Source organism: Homo sapiens, chromosome 2, assembly GCF_000001405.40.
Source record: "Homo sapiens chromosome 2, GRCh38.p14 Primary Assembly".
Taxonomy (NCBI): domain Eukaryota; kingdom Metazoa; phylum Chordata; class Mammalia; order Primates; family Hominidae; genus Homo; species Homo sapiens.
Window position 1 is genome coordinate 64,655,274 of NC_000002.12, and position 15,541 is coordinate 64,670,814.

General features: G+C 39.2%; 1 pseudogene, besides 2 other annotated features; it reads left to right on the forward strand.

Moving 5' to 3' along the window:
• Positions 55 to 214: an enhancer, noted in NCBI's record as "active region_15902". NCBI's record gives its function as "activates an Ori minimal core promoter by ATAC-STARR-seq in GM12878 lymphoblastoid cells {active_cell/tissue: GM12878}" and the evidence as "EXISTENCE:reporter gene assay evidence [ECO:0000049][PMID:35858748]".
• Positions 4,202 to 4,251: a silencer, noted in NCBI's record as "silent region_11563". NCBI's record gives its function as "represses an Ori minimal core promoter by ATAC-STARR-seq in GM12878 lymphoblastoid cells {active_cell/tissue: GM12878}" and the evidence as "EXISTENCE:reporter gene assay evidence [ECO:0000049][PMID:35858748]".
• Positions 10,298 to 10,848, forward strand: RPS10P9 (ribosomal protein S10 pseudogene 9; annotated as a pseudogene).

A 15,541-nucleotide genomic window follows, 5' to 3' on the forward strand; every position in this document is an offset into this window, starting at 1 on the left:
GACCCTCAGTATAATTAAAGTCTTATACAGTATAACCTAAGCCAAAAGCTAATTATTTGTGGATATCTTTGCAAAGTCTCATTATAATGGCATTCAAAATGACATATTATGGAAGCTGTGCTCACCGGCCCTCTGCAGGTCTTGCTCAGTTTGCGCCTGAGTGGCATAACATTCAAACATTTTGCTGTGAAGCGAAGATATTTTTCATTTCCAGAGTTCTGCAGTTTAGAGAGGGCATTAACTACTAACAGTTTCCTAACCACCCACTCACTTATACTTTCAGTGCTCACTTTAAGGAAAAGCCATTGAAATAGAAGCTGCAATAATCTCTTCCTGTGATATCTTTGTAGAGGAGGCCAGAGGCATTAGCTCTGTTGAATTTAAGGTGAATTTAAACTGCTATTTGTGAATTTAAACTGCTATTCTTGAATTAAAGTAAGCAGGAAGTTACACTTGCAGAACTTTTGTGACACTTGGATATTTTCTAGCAAATAGATTACACCAAATGCAGTGTTTCTGTATAAAATAACAGGATTTAAGTCAAAGTGACAATTTTGTGTCACTAGGATAGACAGGATTCTGCTGAAGTCCATAAGGTCTGTATTCTGTACCTGCTCAAACAAAGGTTTGCGCTCTTAACGAGACCAGCAACCTGCGTTTTTGGAGTGAAATAGTTTCCATCTCTTTATACCTCTGAAGGCTGTAACATCTTATCAATGTACACATTACAAATAGCTCCCACTTCCCCCACTTTTAGAATCTGGCATCTTTGACCAAGAAGTTAAAGTGAGCTGGCAGTTTCAACAGCTGCCAATGTGGTTAACACCAGCTGGTTAACCCTCTCCCTCCCCTTATGCAACCCCCTACCCCAAGGCTGAGCCACACATAGGCCAGGACAGCAATCTCTACCCAGCCCTAGAAATTCAAGTCTATGAGGATAAGGAAAGGCACTTTCCACACTTCTGAAGTCAGCTCCCTTCAGTATGCAATGACATGATTTGAAATATTTATTCAATAAAATATTATTTCAAATCATGTCATTGAATAAGCAGTGTTTAGTGAATATGTAAATTTTGTTCTCACTCTTTGGGAGATTTAAAAGCCCATTTAAGGGCTGGGTGCAGTGGCTCACACCTGTAATCCCAGCAATTTGGGAGGCCTAGATAGAAGGATCACTTGAGGCCAGGAGTTGACCATTCTGGCCAACATAGCGACACCCCCATCGCCACAAAAAATGAAAAAATCAGCCCTGCATGGTGATGCATGCCTATAGTCTTAGCTACTAAGGAGGCTGAGATGGGAGGATTGTTTGAGCCCAGGAGTTCAAGGTTGCAGTGAGCAATGACCACACCACTGCATTCCAATGTAGGTGAGATCTTGTCTCAAAACAAAATCCCATTTAAAATAATCCTACTCTGAGGGCCTCATCCAGAATTTAGAAGATCTGCCTCTCACTTTCATATAACATAACTTTAGAACAGTTATAAGAAATTAGGCTAGTCATCCACATTTAACTACCAGGAACATATCTGTTTAGGGAGAAAAGAAACATTTCTTTTATAAGTATAGAACTGTGATGGTAAATTTTAAAAATGCTCCTGAGTTTAATTTCAGAGAAGTACTTCTCGGCATCATTTTGTAGTTCTGGGTACTAGTTTACACTTCACTGCTTCTCCTTTGAAAGTTTCTGTGCCCTCACATCTTATAGACTAGTACACTAGTGCACTAACTGAAGGCCACTTTTGGCACTTAATTAGCACACACCAAAAACACAAGGGGCAAACTGGGTATATAAACTGAGAAACAAAGACTTTACAACAGGTTTTGAACTTAATTTCATTTTTCCTTTGCTTTTATTAAATTTTTATCTTTCAGGTTCCACCTGAAATGCCAGTAATGATCATCCATCTATATACCTTGCAAATATTGGTCTTGGTTTTATGGCAAAAAAGATAAATGTTTCAGTTATTAAATGAATTGTATAGAGCCAGCTAGGCTAAATAAGCTTTTCATGGAAAATACGGAGATCCTAACTGTGGACTCATCATTCGGATAAATGAATATTGGAATAAGTCTTCAAAATAAAGTTCTGGAAGTCACATCACCTAACTGATTAGCAAGGAGTCAATAGAGGATACAATGATTTGGAAAAGTAAATACTCTCGCAAAGATGGCACAGGCAGATTCAGTCCTTTTCAGCCACTAACAATTTAAAACAATTCTATTGAAGCAGCAAGTGAACTCCTCTACTTCTGCAAACTTTTCTCCATCTCTTCTTCCACCTGCTTTTGTCATGGTTTTTTTCTGCTCCTCCCTGAAGTCACAATTCATAAAAGCAGAACTACAGCTCCAGTGAAGGCCCCTTTGCAAAGCTTTCCATGTTGTTACATTGAACTGCTTTGCAACGACTGCTTCTTACCTTCTGAGGGAGGTTTCACTTGTCTGTTAAAGATATACCTTTTTCTCTTTTAAAAATCTGACAATATGTAAATCTAAACCTGAAACACAATCTTCATGGCAATATTTAAAGAAAATGCTTTTAAAACCATTTCCTTTTTTTCTAGCACTTGGGGTCAGTCCCTTCGAACTATTACTGGAGAAGATGGCTTCTGTTAGGCATCAGCTTCCTTCCTATTCCATTTTCCACTGAATCTTCAAAAGCCTTGTGCAGTCTATCAAAATGCAAAGAACCTTCTTGGTGACTCTGACAACTCCAGGGTTCCCTCCTGTAGGGACACTACTCCACTAAGACTGGTGGTCACTTCTCAGAAACATCTCCCATCCCCAGCTCCCTACACAACACACATTGCCTCTACGCATCGACTATGTATTTATTCCTGTCTATAAGCCATCCATCATTCTTGAGAAGTTCCCACTCTTCTCAAGGCACTGAGCACACTTCTAGCTTCCACAGAAAATTTCAATGAATGTTAGAAATTGCACAGACCTTTCTTGCCCCCAGGAACCAGCCTGGTGACAGGAAAAGTCCTGGACTAGGAGTTTGAAGATCTTGTACACATTAATTACTTAACCATGATAAATCTATGACTTTTTAGTTTCTTAATTGACTGGTCACGGATTTAGGATCAGCACCAGTTCTCGTCAAAAGAGCACAGGGTTGTTGAGTTAGGTGATTTCAGGGCTAGCTCGTCAGCCACAGCGAGCAGGGAGGCCGAATCAGACCCTCTGCACTGGGCCTGCTTCGACACCTGGCAAAAAAAGGAACTTGGACTCAAAGATTTCAAGAGCCCCTCCCTAGAGCTAAGAGTCTATGAAACAGTGATTACACTGTCAATATCCTCATGGAGGAGTTTTAGGGCTAAAATGAGATAAAATGCTTTGGAAGCTGCTCAGCTTGTCTGGAAGAATATAAAACCAAGTTCATGTCCACATATTTCTAAATGAAAGGACTAGAAATACAAATAATGATAATGTGCTCTCTTCAATATGTTCTTTGAATTATTTTTTTAAGTCCAGAAGATGGACTTGAGCAGTTCTATCCATATTCTTCTAGATTTGTTACCCCTTAGGGTTCAAGTCACCCAGCTGTGAGACTGGGAATACCCCTACCCCCTAAGTTTGTATAGCAGCAGGCAATTTACAAGGGGCTTTTTTTTTTTTTTTTTTTTGAGACGTAGTCTTGCTCTTTGTTGCCCAGGCTGGAGTGCAATGGCACAATCTCGACTCACTGCAACCTCCGGCATCCTGGGTTCAAGTGATTCTCCTGCCTCAGCCTCCCAAGTAGCTGGGATTACAGGCATGCACCACCACACCTGGTTAATTTTGTATTTTTAGTAGAGACGGGGTTGCTCCATGTTGGTCAGGCTGGTCTCGAACTCCCATCTTCAGGTGATCTGCCCATCTCGGCCTCCCAAAGTGCTGGGATTACAGGCGTGAGCCACCGCGCCCGGCCACAAGGTGCTTTCATATGGATCCACTTGTTTGCTCTTCATAATACCTTCCCTGTGCCATAGGCAGGGCAGGTACTACTACCCACATTTCATAGAGGACTAAACAGAGGATCTGAGAAGGACCTACCAATGGAACTCTTTATCAAGCTGACTCCAGGGTCAAAGAAAGTCTGGATCTAACATTCACTGAAGCATTCTGTGGAAGCCAGGAGTGCTGAGCGTCTTGAGAAGAGCATACACTCCTCAGAAACAGCAGATGGTGCAGAGCCAGGAAATACAGAGTCAACGTGCAGAGACTAACAGGAGGGTAGTGCTGGGCTAGGAACTGGATGCTGCTTAGCTCCATCTCTCTACATGGGTCATGGAATAACAATTCTGTTTCTTATACAAAAAACTCCAATCCTGCCTATGCTTAGCCTTGTTAGCACCATATTTTATCCCACAGAATTAATAATCCACAACCACCACAACAAAAAAGAAATAAAACTCATCATATCCTCTAGCCCCTCACTCATTTCCAGTAAGGTTCATAACACAGTCATTCTTGTTTACCACCCTGTCTCTAGCCTCTACAGCACTGCCTGACACAGTAGGCATTCAATAGGGATCACTCAATAAGTGGACCAATGAGGAATGCTGAAGCACTTACACCAGCTTCAAAAACTCAAGAGGTTAATCTTTCCTGCTAAAATTTCTCTCATGAAGTATGTACTGTTAAGAGTTAATTTTAACAGGATCATTACACGGGGAACAACCTTGCAGATAAACACCAAATTATTGCCAGAATCTCACCATTCTGTACTTTTTAATGAAGATTCTTCTCTGCCTACTTACTTTAAGAATGAAAAGTATCAGTCAAATAACATTTTAAAACACAGCAGCATTTGATTTTTAGGTTAAATAAAAAAGCCACATAGGGGTTGAAGAAAACCAAAATATATGCTTAGGCCATCAACCTGAAGATAAATTAAAAAAAAAAAAAAACCATCTCTACTAAAAATAGCAAAAATTAGCCAGGCGTAGTGGTGGGTGCCTGTAATCCCTGCTACTCAGGAGGCTGAGACAGGAGAATCTCTTGAACCCGGGAGGCAGAGGTTGCAGTAAGCCGAGATCGCGCCATTGTACTCCAGCCTGGGCAACAAGAGTTAAACTCTGTCTCAAAAAAAAAAAAAAAAAAAAAGACTTATCTATCCAAATTTTCCAATGGCTACCTGAATGGTTCAAATGAGCATTTAACACTGTCACCTTCACACCCTTTTGTTCATGGAATACAAAAATATGACAGTAGTTAAGAATTTTATCTGTTAATTCTGAGGAAAAAATGGCAAAGTGATGACAGGAAAAATATTTTTTTTCCAAAGTATTACTCTAATGCTAAATGTTTTTATGTTTTAAAATCAAGCAAATTTATATGATTGGCTAGACTAAATTCTATCTTTTGGTTTACATATTCTTATATTTATTGTAGAAACTATCTAGGATTGAGTACCTTTAAGCCTTATAAGTAAAGAGGACTTTTAAGCATGGTGAATTTTGTAATGTAAATAATATATTTAAACCATTTTTTGAAGTCTCAGCTATAAAAATTCTACTTAAGAGAAGTTAAAAAAAAAAATCAAGACTTTAATGTGAATAGGTGCCCAGGAAGTGCCTCCAAGTTTAGGCTATGAGGCATCATTAGAAAATAAACGTGAACAGAAGATACAGTTTAAGTGTAAAACACAATATACAACTAAAAATGAATCAGCCCTTTGCCACATGAATTTGTATTAGTTTTCTAGGGGAGAGGTAACACTTGCCAAGACTGTGTAGGCTTTACCTTTTAGTCGCTAATGTAGAATTGTCTTTTAAAGACCTGTTGCCAGAATAAACAAGACGTTTTCAAAATTATCCAACCTGTCTAATAATACTAGTCTTTTGCTTTAAACTGGAATATATATATATACACACACACACACACACACACAATTTAAAATTTATAGCCAGGCATGGTGGTTCATGCCTGTAACCCCAGCACCTTGGGAGGCTGAGGTGGACAGGTCACTTGCGGCCAGGAGTTCGAGACCAGCCTGGCAAACATGGCAAAACCCCGTCTCTACTAAAAATACAAAAAAATTAGCTGGGCATGGTGGCACACGCCTGTATTCCCAGCTACTCGGGAGGCTGAGGCATGAGAATTGCTTGAGTCCAGGAGGCAGAGGTTGCAGTGAGCTGAGATCGCACCACTGCACACCAGCCTAGGCAACAGAGCTGACTCAAAACAAATTAAAGAATGAATGAAAATAAAATAAAATGTATAATTTTTGTTCTCTTTCTCTTTTTTGTTTTTAGTTTTTAAATTTTTATATCTAAAATTTCAGAAATGCAGAGTAAAGTCAAGTAGGAAGAAAATAAAGCAAGCAGCTCAGACACCAACACCACATTAGGTACACTTGTATAAGTAGTCAATTGTTTTTTCAAAAATATACTTTAAATATTGAACAAAAGATTTAATCTTGCTAAGTAATATTTGTTTCAAAGCGGTTTTCTTGGAGAAGTCTTGTTTAGGTTATAGGAAACTCCTCACATGGGCAGAGAAGCTAGCTTTAAGGAGAAAATAATAGTGTGAATGATCTATCTGCAACTTCCCTTTTAAAAACAGAAGTTGAATCTGTAACACCAAATTTAGAAAGGAGAGTGGATGGCAGCAAATACCCTAAGAATATCATCTGTAGCACAGACGCCCACTGCTGTTCTGTTCTGTTACAATTAAATGTACACTTTACAATCCTGAACTTGCTCAGACAATGCATATATTTAAAGATGATTCATTTAAAAGAAAACATACATCTGAAAGAGTCACAACAAGTCAAAAATCTCACTTAAAAAGTGCCAGATTCCCTCACTATGAGTGCAGAGCTATTCATTTGGCCTCTTTACACAGAGTGCAGCACAATCCAGTACTGGGCTACGGAAAAATCATTTTTGTGGGACTAATGTTGATAATTTCAACATAATTTCTGTTTAGCTTCCTTTAAGAAACTAAAGCCCAAATTACAAAAAGGTAGAAAAAATTTTTAATTAATCAGATACTGATTTTCAATCCATTCTGATTTGTTGCCCCTTTAAAACTGTGAGACATCATGCTTTTAGTTTTAATAACAATTAACAGCAATGAGAATAAAGATTCCAGAATTACGATTTTCTCATTACAGCCAAAAATGAAAAGTGAGAAGACAAACACCTTTCCAAAAGTTCATCAGATGAAAAGATAAAAATTAATGGGGAGCCATACCATTTAATGGACAAGAATACTTAATACTATATACATGCAGATTCTCCCCCAAACTTATCAACAAATTACATGAAATTTAAATCCCATATTTTCCTTCAATGGAACTTGGCAAATGAATCCTAAAATTCATCTGAAATAGAAAAGGGCCAAACACAGTTGTAATAAGCTTAAGGAACAAGATGGGGGACATGTCCTATCAGAGCTTATTATAAAGCTCTAGTAATTAGAGCAGAGTAGAGTTGACATAGGTACAGATAAATAGATCAATGGAACAGAATTGAGAGTTCAGAACCACATATATATGGAAGTGTAATACATGACTGAAGTGAAATTACAGATCAGTAAGGAAAGAATTCAATAAGTAGCTCAGGGCCAGGCACGATGGCTCACACCTATAATCGCAGCACTTCAGGAGGCTGAGGCAGAAGGATCGCTTGAACCCTGCCTGGGCAACATGAAGAGACCCTGTCTCTACAAAAATTTTAAAAATTAGCTGAGCAGGCTGGGCACGGTGGCTCATGCCTGTAATCCCACCACTCTGGGAGGCCGAGGCGGGTGGATCACGGGGTAAGGAGTTCGAGACCAGCCTGGCCAACATAGTGAAACCCAATCTCTACTAAACATACAAAAAAAATTAGCCAGGCGTGGTGGCGGGCTCCTGTAATCCCAACTACTTGGGAGGCTGAGGCAGGAGAATCACTTGAACCTGGGAGGCAGAGGTTGCAGTGAGCCGAGATTGCACCACTGCACTCCAGCCCAGGCAACAGAGAGAGACTCCATCTCAAAAAGAAACAAAACAAAACAAAACAAAAAACCAACATTTAGCAGAGCATAGTGGTTCCAGATTCTCAGGAGGCTGAGGTGGGAGGATCGCTTGAGTCCAGGAGGTCAAGGCGGCAGTGAGCTATGTTGGTACCACTGCACTCCAGCCTAGGTGACAGAGCGAGACTGTCTCAAAAAAATTATAAATAAATAGCTCAGGGCCACCTGATTACCTGTATGAAAAATAAATTAGGTGCCTAATATTTACAAAAAAATATATTTCAGGTAGACTAAATAGGTAAAACAAAATTTTAAACTTTTGGGAGAGAATATATGAAAATATGTTTATGGCTTTAGGATAAGGAAAATGTGCTGACTGTAGTTCATCTGAGATTCATTCTCCACTTGCCTCTGCTTGGCTCCATGCCTTGAAATGTTGACATCTAGGGACCACCTCACCCAAGTTCCTTTGCTCACTAGCTTCCAACTGGATTCAGACAAAGAAGGTACCAGAAGGAGACCAATGGGTCAGAAGGTGGAGAAGCTGGGGTACTTCTTCCCTGCTCCTTCCTGCTTTGGGCCCTCACCTGCGAGTACACATCCCTCCACAACTACAGCTTCTGCCAGGTGGCCCCTTCTCCAGGATGCCAACTCCCACCAGGTTCTAGCAACACCATTTCTTCCCCTTTCCCCTTTAGGCTTAAGGATAGTAACAGCTTCCTACAGTTATTTGTCTTCTGTGCCTCAACTTTTGTCACATCTCTGTAAAATGTCCCTTCACTAGTGTCTCTTTAGTTGAATCATCTCAGTAGAATTCTGTTTCCTGCAGGGATTCTGACTATTGAAGAAACAAAACACTCAATGAACAAACCATAAAGAAAAATATCAATAGCTTTGATTACACTAAAATTAAACATCTCTTACATAAAATACACTACAAACAAGTTAAAGGCAAGCTAAAGATTGTCAAATGATATACGTGATTCATAGAAATAGAATCAACAAAAGATTAGTATTCAGAATTAACAAAGAACTCCTCTGAATCAATCTTTTAAAAGACAGATAAATCCAATAGAAAAATGGGTGAGGAAACTAAAATGTCCAATGAACACAGGAATAGGCACTCAACTTCATCAGTAAAAAGAAAAATGCAAATCAGGTTGTGTCAGTGGACATGCCGCTAATCCCAGCACTTTGGGAGGCTGAGGTGGTAGGACACTTGAGGCCAGGAGTTCAAGACCAGCCTGGGCAACATAGCTAGACCCTCATTTCTACAAAAAAAGAAAAATGCAAATTATAAAGAGATATTTCACAGCTATCAAACTGATAAAAATCAAAGTTTTATATGTATACCAATATCAAATACTGATGAGAAAGCAGATAAAAAGGAACTCTCATAAAACTTGTGGATATATAATTTGGTATGACCACTTTGGAGATAATTAGGCATTTTCTTTGTTTGTTTGTTGTTTCTGTGACAGTCTTGCTCTGTTGCCCAGGCTGGAGTGCAATGGTGCCAACACAGCTCACTGCGCCTTGTCCTCCCGGGCTCAAGCGATCCTCTGAGACTCCCAAATAGCTGGGACCACAGGTGCACATCATCATGCCCAGCTAATTTTTATGGGTTTTTGTAGAGATGGGGTCTCACTATGTTGCCTAGGCTGATCTCGAACTCCTAGGCTCAAGTAATCCTCCTGCCTCAGCCTCCCAAAGTGCTGGGATTATAAGCCTGAGCCACCATGCCCAGCCTAATTAGGCACTGTCTAGTAAAGTTGGAGATGCACACACCCTGCCACATACAGTCTTTCTCATATAGAAAAATAAGCTCTACAGAAAAGGATTCAAGTGACTGTTTCCTCAGTTCTCCCAAGGATGGTATAAAGTTAAAATCTGTGATGTGCTAGCAAATGTTTAACAACCAGCTAGGGGGATAGGGAAGGAAGCTTTTATTTGTAGCATTTGCTGATTTCTGTGGTATAAATACCCATACCATGGCTGATTTCAAGCCTCCCAACTGAACTCAAGAATTAGGAAGAGATTAGCACATTCATTCTTAGGAGTGGCTATCAATCTCCAGCTCCAGCTCAACACTTGAATGATTCCAGACTTACAGAAGTTAATTCATTACCCTACAAAGATACCTTAAGAGATTGGGGCTTAATTCCCTCAAGGAATTCTGGATGAGAAGGGCTAAGTCTAGAATCTAGAGAGACTCTTGCTTTTATCCCCATGGAGACATAGGAGAAGAATCTTTTTGGCAGTATTGCTTGTAATAGCAAAATATTGTAAGTAACCTGAAAGTTCAAGATGATACCCTTGAAAACTACAGTGGTTAAAAAGAACTAAAGGTCTTTCCAGCCCTGGCCCCAGACCCTACAGCCATGGAGATGTTGATGCCTAAGAAGAACCAGATTCCCGTTTATGAACTCCTTTTTAAGAAGGGAGTCATGGTGGCAAAGAAGGTTGTCCACATGCCTAAGCACCCAGAGCTGGCAGACAAGAAGGTGCCCAACCTTCATGTCATGAAGGCCATGCAGTCTCTCAAGTCCTGAGGCTGCATGGAGGAACAGTTTGCCTGGAGACGTTTCTACTGGTACCTTCATCTGCCCCCGGAGATTGTGCCTGCCACCCTACACCACAGTCATCCAGAGGCTGGCAGGCCTCGGCCTAAAGGTCTAGGGGGTGAGCAACCTGCAAGACTCACAAGAGGGGAAGCAGACAGAGATACCTACAGGCGGAGTGCTGTGCCCCCTGATGCCAACAAGAAAGCCGAGGCTGGGGCTGGGTCAGCAACCGAATTCCAGTTTAGAGGCGGGTTTGGTCATGGACGTGGTCAGCCACCTCAGTAAAACTGGAGAGGATTATTTTGCACTGAATAAACTTATAGCCAAAAAAACTTAAAATAAAAAAAAAAAGAACTAAAGGTACCATGTATTGTGTGTTGATCTCAAAATATAAAGCTTTATCTCAAAAACAAATATTGACTAAAATAAAGCAAGTTATAAAATATATACAACACCATTTATATAACATATTTTTAAACATGCAAAACACTGTATATATAGTTTACATATATATATGTATGCAATTATAGAAAATAGATTTAAAAATTCAAGAAAGTAGTTACCTCTGGTAACAGGAGGAGGTTAATAGAATCAGGGAGAGACACACAGGAGATGTCTTTTTAAAAAGTATCAAAGTCTCAAAAGCAAATAAATGTATTCTAATTATTTCATTGTTTCAGAATATAGTAAGTTAAAGAAATACATTTTCTCTTCTTTCTTCCTTATGGTTCCCATGAAGTAGAACCGTGTAAGATTTTTTTTCCTACAACTTCTAGCACCTGTTAATACTGGACAATATTTGTATTGCAAGCATTCATTTATTCCCTATTATTTCAGTAATAAACAATTTATTCTTCTCATTCGTTCTATTATCCTTCTCGCTCTCAATATTACACTGTAAAATCCAATGATAATGCTAAATCAACCTAACGTTCTTCAATAGGAAGTCCAGCTCATCGCTCAAGTATAAGAGAGTAAGTGGTTTAATGCCTGTTTTGGGTGTTATTTCTTACCTGCCAGGCGAACTTCTATCATGCTAACAAGGATAAATCTTCCTCACAAAATATGGAAGGCTTCTTGTTACTTCCTTAAAATGACAAAGAACTCAGCACTAAAAAGTGAAATCTTGGTTTGTTTTTTTTTTTAAAGTAAAAAATAGAAACACAGTTTCCCCATAAAATATCTTTCACTAGGTGTTCAGGTGACCACCAAGTGCTACACCAAACGCACTGCAGCTCCTTCTTATGTCTCTTCTTATTGGGGATCTTGACATTTGGGAACATGATGTTTCAGTGCATGTGTAGTGTGACTTTTTTTTCAAAGAGATTGTCTTGAAATAAGCCTATGTTTTAAGTACACACTTTTCTGCAAGCTAGCAGGCATTCTGAAGCTAGGTGGTTCTAAATAAAGAACTCTAGTCAACAACAGGAAATAACTCCCACAGAAAAAAGGGGCAGAATACAAACTCTCACCAACTCTTGTACACAGCTCACAACGGCCTTTTGTTCCATGCACATTAAGCCTGAAATCTTTACTTTTCAGAGCATGTTGGGGCCTTCGCAGAGCAATTAAACATTTCTTTTCCTTTTGCTGGTGTCCTTGCCTTCTTTCCTCTGAGGAAGTTAATCTTACAACTAACTGCTTACTATGAGATAGCAAATCAGAAAACAGAACAGTTTGTATTTTAACAACTTTCTCTTAATGGAACTTCTCAAGATAAAAACAAGTTTTGGTGTAAAAACTCACTTTTCCACCTAATACACATGACACCATGGAGAGACACACATACATGTACTAAAGGAGTAGGTTCACGTGCAGTATATGTTTCTATCAACAAGGATACATCACATTAACCCATATATCTAGACTGATGGGTTATCAGCACTTTACCAGTGGTCAGCAAATCAATGCAACTAGAAGACAAATTTATATCCTCTTCAAAGGTTCCCATCTTGAGTCTTTAGAAAAAGAGGAAGGACAATCTAGATCCCAAGCCAACCAAACAGAAAGACATTAGATGGTAGTCTTTAAAGTCAAAGTGACACCTATTAGAACAGACTGGTGGCATTCAACTATAACACAGCACAGGTGCTCCTGACAAGGGAATGAGACTGAGCAAAAAAGCTTCAATATGACTGAAGATTGGTATTTCTTCCCTCTCTTGTACATTCAGCCTTGCCCTTCCTACTGGCTCCTTGTTGCAATCAATAAATTACAGATTCACTGTATTCTATCTTCACTTTTAAAATAGGAATCAATCCTCCCCATGTTTAATGCTGCAGGAATGCTGCTAGTAGCTACTTCTGTCTATCTACAGCTTTATTTTTCTTCCTGCTTCCTCTGCCTACTGCAGAACAACTCTACTGACCATCCCACAAACGGGCAACAGTGACCCCTAAATGGCATGGCCAATGGACACTTCTCAGCTCCTCATACTACTTAGCCTTTCTGTAGCATCTGACATTACTGACCACCTCGAAAGGTTTCCTTCAAGTTGAACTGTAGTCTCCTGGTTCTTGTCTCCTTGGCCACTTGTAGTTTCCTTTGTTGGCTCCTCTTCCTCTGCCCTCCCTATAAACCTGTAGTTTTAAACTTAAAAAACAACAACAACAACTTCCGGCTGCAGAGAGGGCCAGAGAGGGGTAAAGTACTGTGGTGGGGGCGGGATGGAGATGGCTATGGTTCATGGCCGGGTTGGGAGCAGACATGGGAATGGTTGATTAGGATATTAGAATCCTCAGAAAAATTTAGGAATGTTAAGTGTTTCGAAAAACAATTTCCCAGTTAATAATCCCAGTTACCTAATTAACTATGTAAATATTAGTATTCCCTATGGTTTTGTCTTGCCCCTTTTCTCTTCCTATCCTAGAAACTCTCCCTAGGCAATCTCACCCATTCTCAGAGCACCTACATGCTAATGACTCACAAATCATTAACTTCATTCCAGACCTTTCTCTCTGAGCTCCAGATGTGACCTGTTTATATAGGAAGACTATGCAACCCAGTTTATAAGGGTCATTCCTGGTTTATGCTTGTTATCCTGGCATAATTATTAATAGCACCCTGTGTCAATTTCGAAAAGGTCCTAGTTTGAATGATAAAAGCATATAATTAACCTATTCATGTCCCGTTGCCTATCAGACATCTCCACTGGGTATCGTAAAGGCATCTCCAACTCACAGCACATCTAAAGTTGTCCTAATCATATTCTCCTTAAATTGCCCCCTACTTCCCAAATGCCTAAATACGGTTAAGGCACAACATCCACCTGGAGTCTCCGTTGGAAATCTCAGATTCAAAGTATCTTCCATCTCTCTTACCCTCACATTCATCCAGATACAAAGCCCTGTCAATCTTCTCTCTTATTTTCCATGTATGTCCCATTTCTCCCACCGCTGCCCTAGTCAATACTCTAGTTATCTTTCACTTTGATTATGGCAACAATCTGTCTCCCAATTTCCAGTCCCGAATATTCTCCTCTAATCCATCCACATGACTTACTGTATGACAGGTAGCATGGTAGGTCCTAGAAATACAAAATGAACAAGAGATGCTCCCACCCAGTTCAGGTGGAAGATTAACTCATCATTGTGATGCAATGGGTTATGTGGTGGGTGTAAGAGACATGCACAGGATGACAATGGACATGCAGGAGTGGCCACAGAGCCTGGCCAGTGTGGAATGAGGCCAGGAAGTGGATTTTAGGGTAAACAGGAATTAGTCAAGGTCATTAGTCAAGGTCATTAAAGGCAGATGGAACAGGATGAACAAAGATAGGGAGGTGAGAAATAGCATGTGATGTGGGTACAGATCTGAAGTGTAAATTTCAGGCAGGGAGTAGCAATACGTAACACTAGAGAGTTTGGCTGGGGCACGTCTAGGAAGGTCTTGGAGGCAACACTGAGTGTGGCCTTTATGTTCTGAAGTCATTAAGAGATCTTCCATGGGAGAATGGCATGACGTGGTTTTCACTTTAGGAAGTTAACTCCCCATTGATTCTTGAACTTTACTGAATGATTCTAACATTTACTTAGACAAACCAACAAATGAGGAAAAAATGAAATAAAAATTAAAAAAGGATATTAAAATATATTTAAAAACAATAATTAAGAGTTGGATTCTGGCAAAAGAAAAATATAAATGAATCTGAATTGAAACACTTGAAACAGACTTTAGTAAAAAGATTTAGTATACACTAAAGACACATTCTTATAAGTGAGGTAAGGGAGGCATGTGCAATGAATGGTTTATTATTTAGGGAGGAAAAACTAACATTAGGTCCTTGCCTCATACAATATGATAAAACACCAGAGATTAAAGAATAACATTAAAAAACATAAGAGAACTAAAAGAAATTACAGATGAATAATTTATCTTAGAGGTAGATAAGACCTTTTCAAACATAAAGCAAAAGAGCCATGAAGATAAAACTGACTACATTAACAAAAACTATATAACAAAAAGCACCATAAGCAAAAATTTTTTTTAAATGACAAACTAGGAAAAATAACTGCAACACAGGTAACAAAGACTTAGTAACTTTATAACCTAAAGAGGTCTTATGAATCAATTAGAAAACCATCAATACTAAATTAGAAAACACTAAAACAAAATTTTATAAATGAGCAAAGGACCCAAACTAATCATTATCAAGGGAAGCAATGCATGAAAAAGCAATACAAATTTAAAAGAACTGTAATTTTTACATAGTAAGCTAGCTAAAGTTGTTTTAAAGCTGTTAACAATGTGAGGGTGCAGTGGACAGGTTGTCTCACAGTTACTGATGTGAGTATAAATTGATTTAACCTTGGGAAAGAGAGGGTTTTGGAGATGTGTATCAAGAACCTTTTAAAATTTCTATATCCTGTAATGTGGTCATTTCATTTCTAGAAATTTGCCCCATAGACCTAATCGGAACCATGCATAAAGAATGTGTTCATTCAACATTTATTTATTTATTTATTTATTTGAGACAGGGTCTTATTCTAACTCTCAGGCTGGAGTGCAGTGGCATGATCAAGCTCACTGAA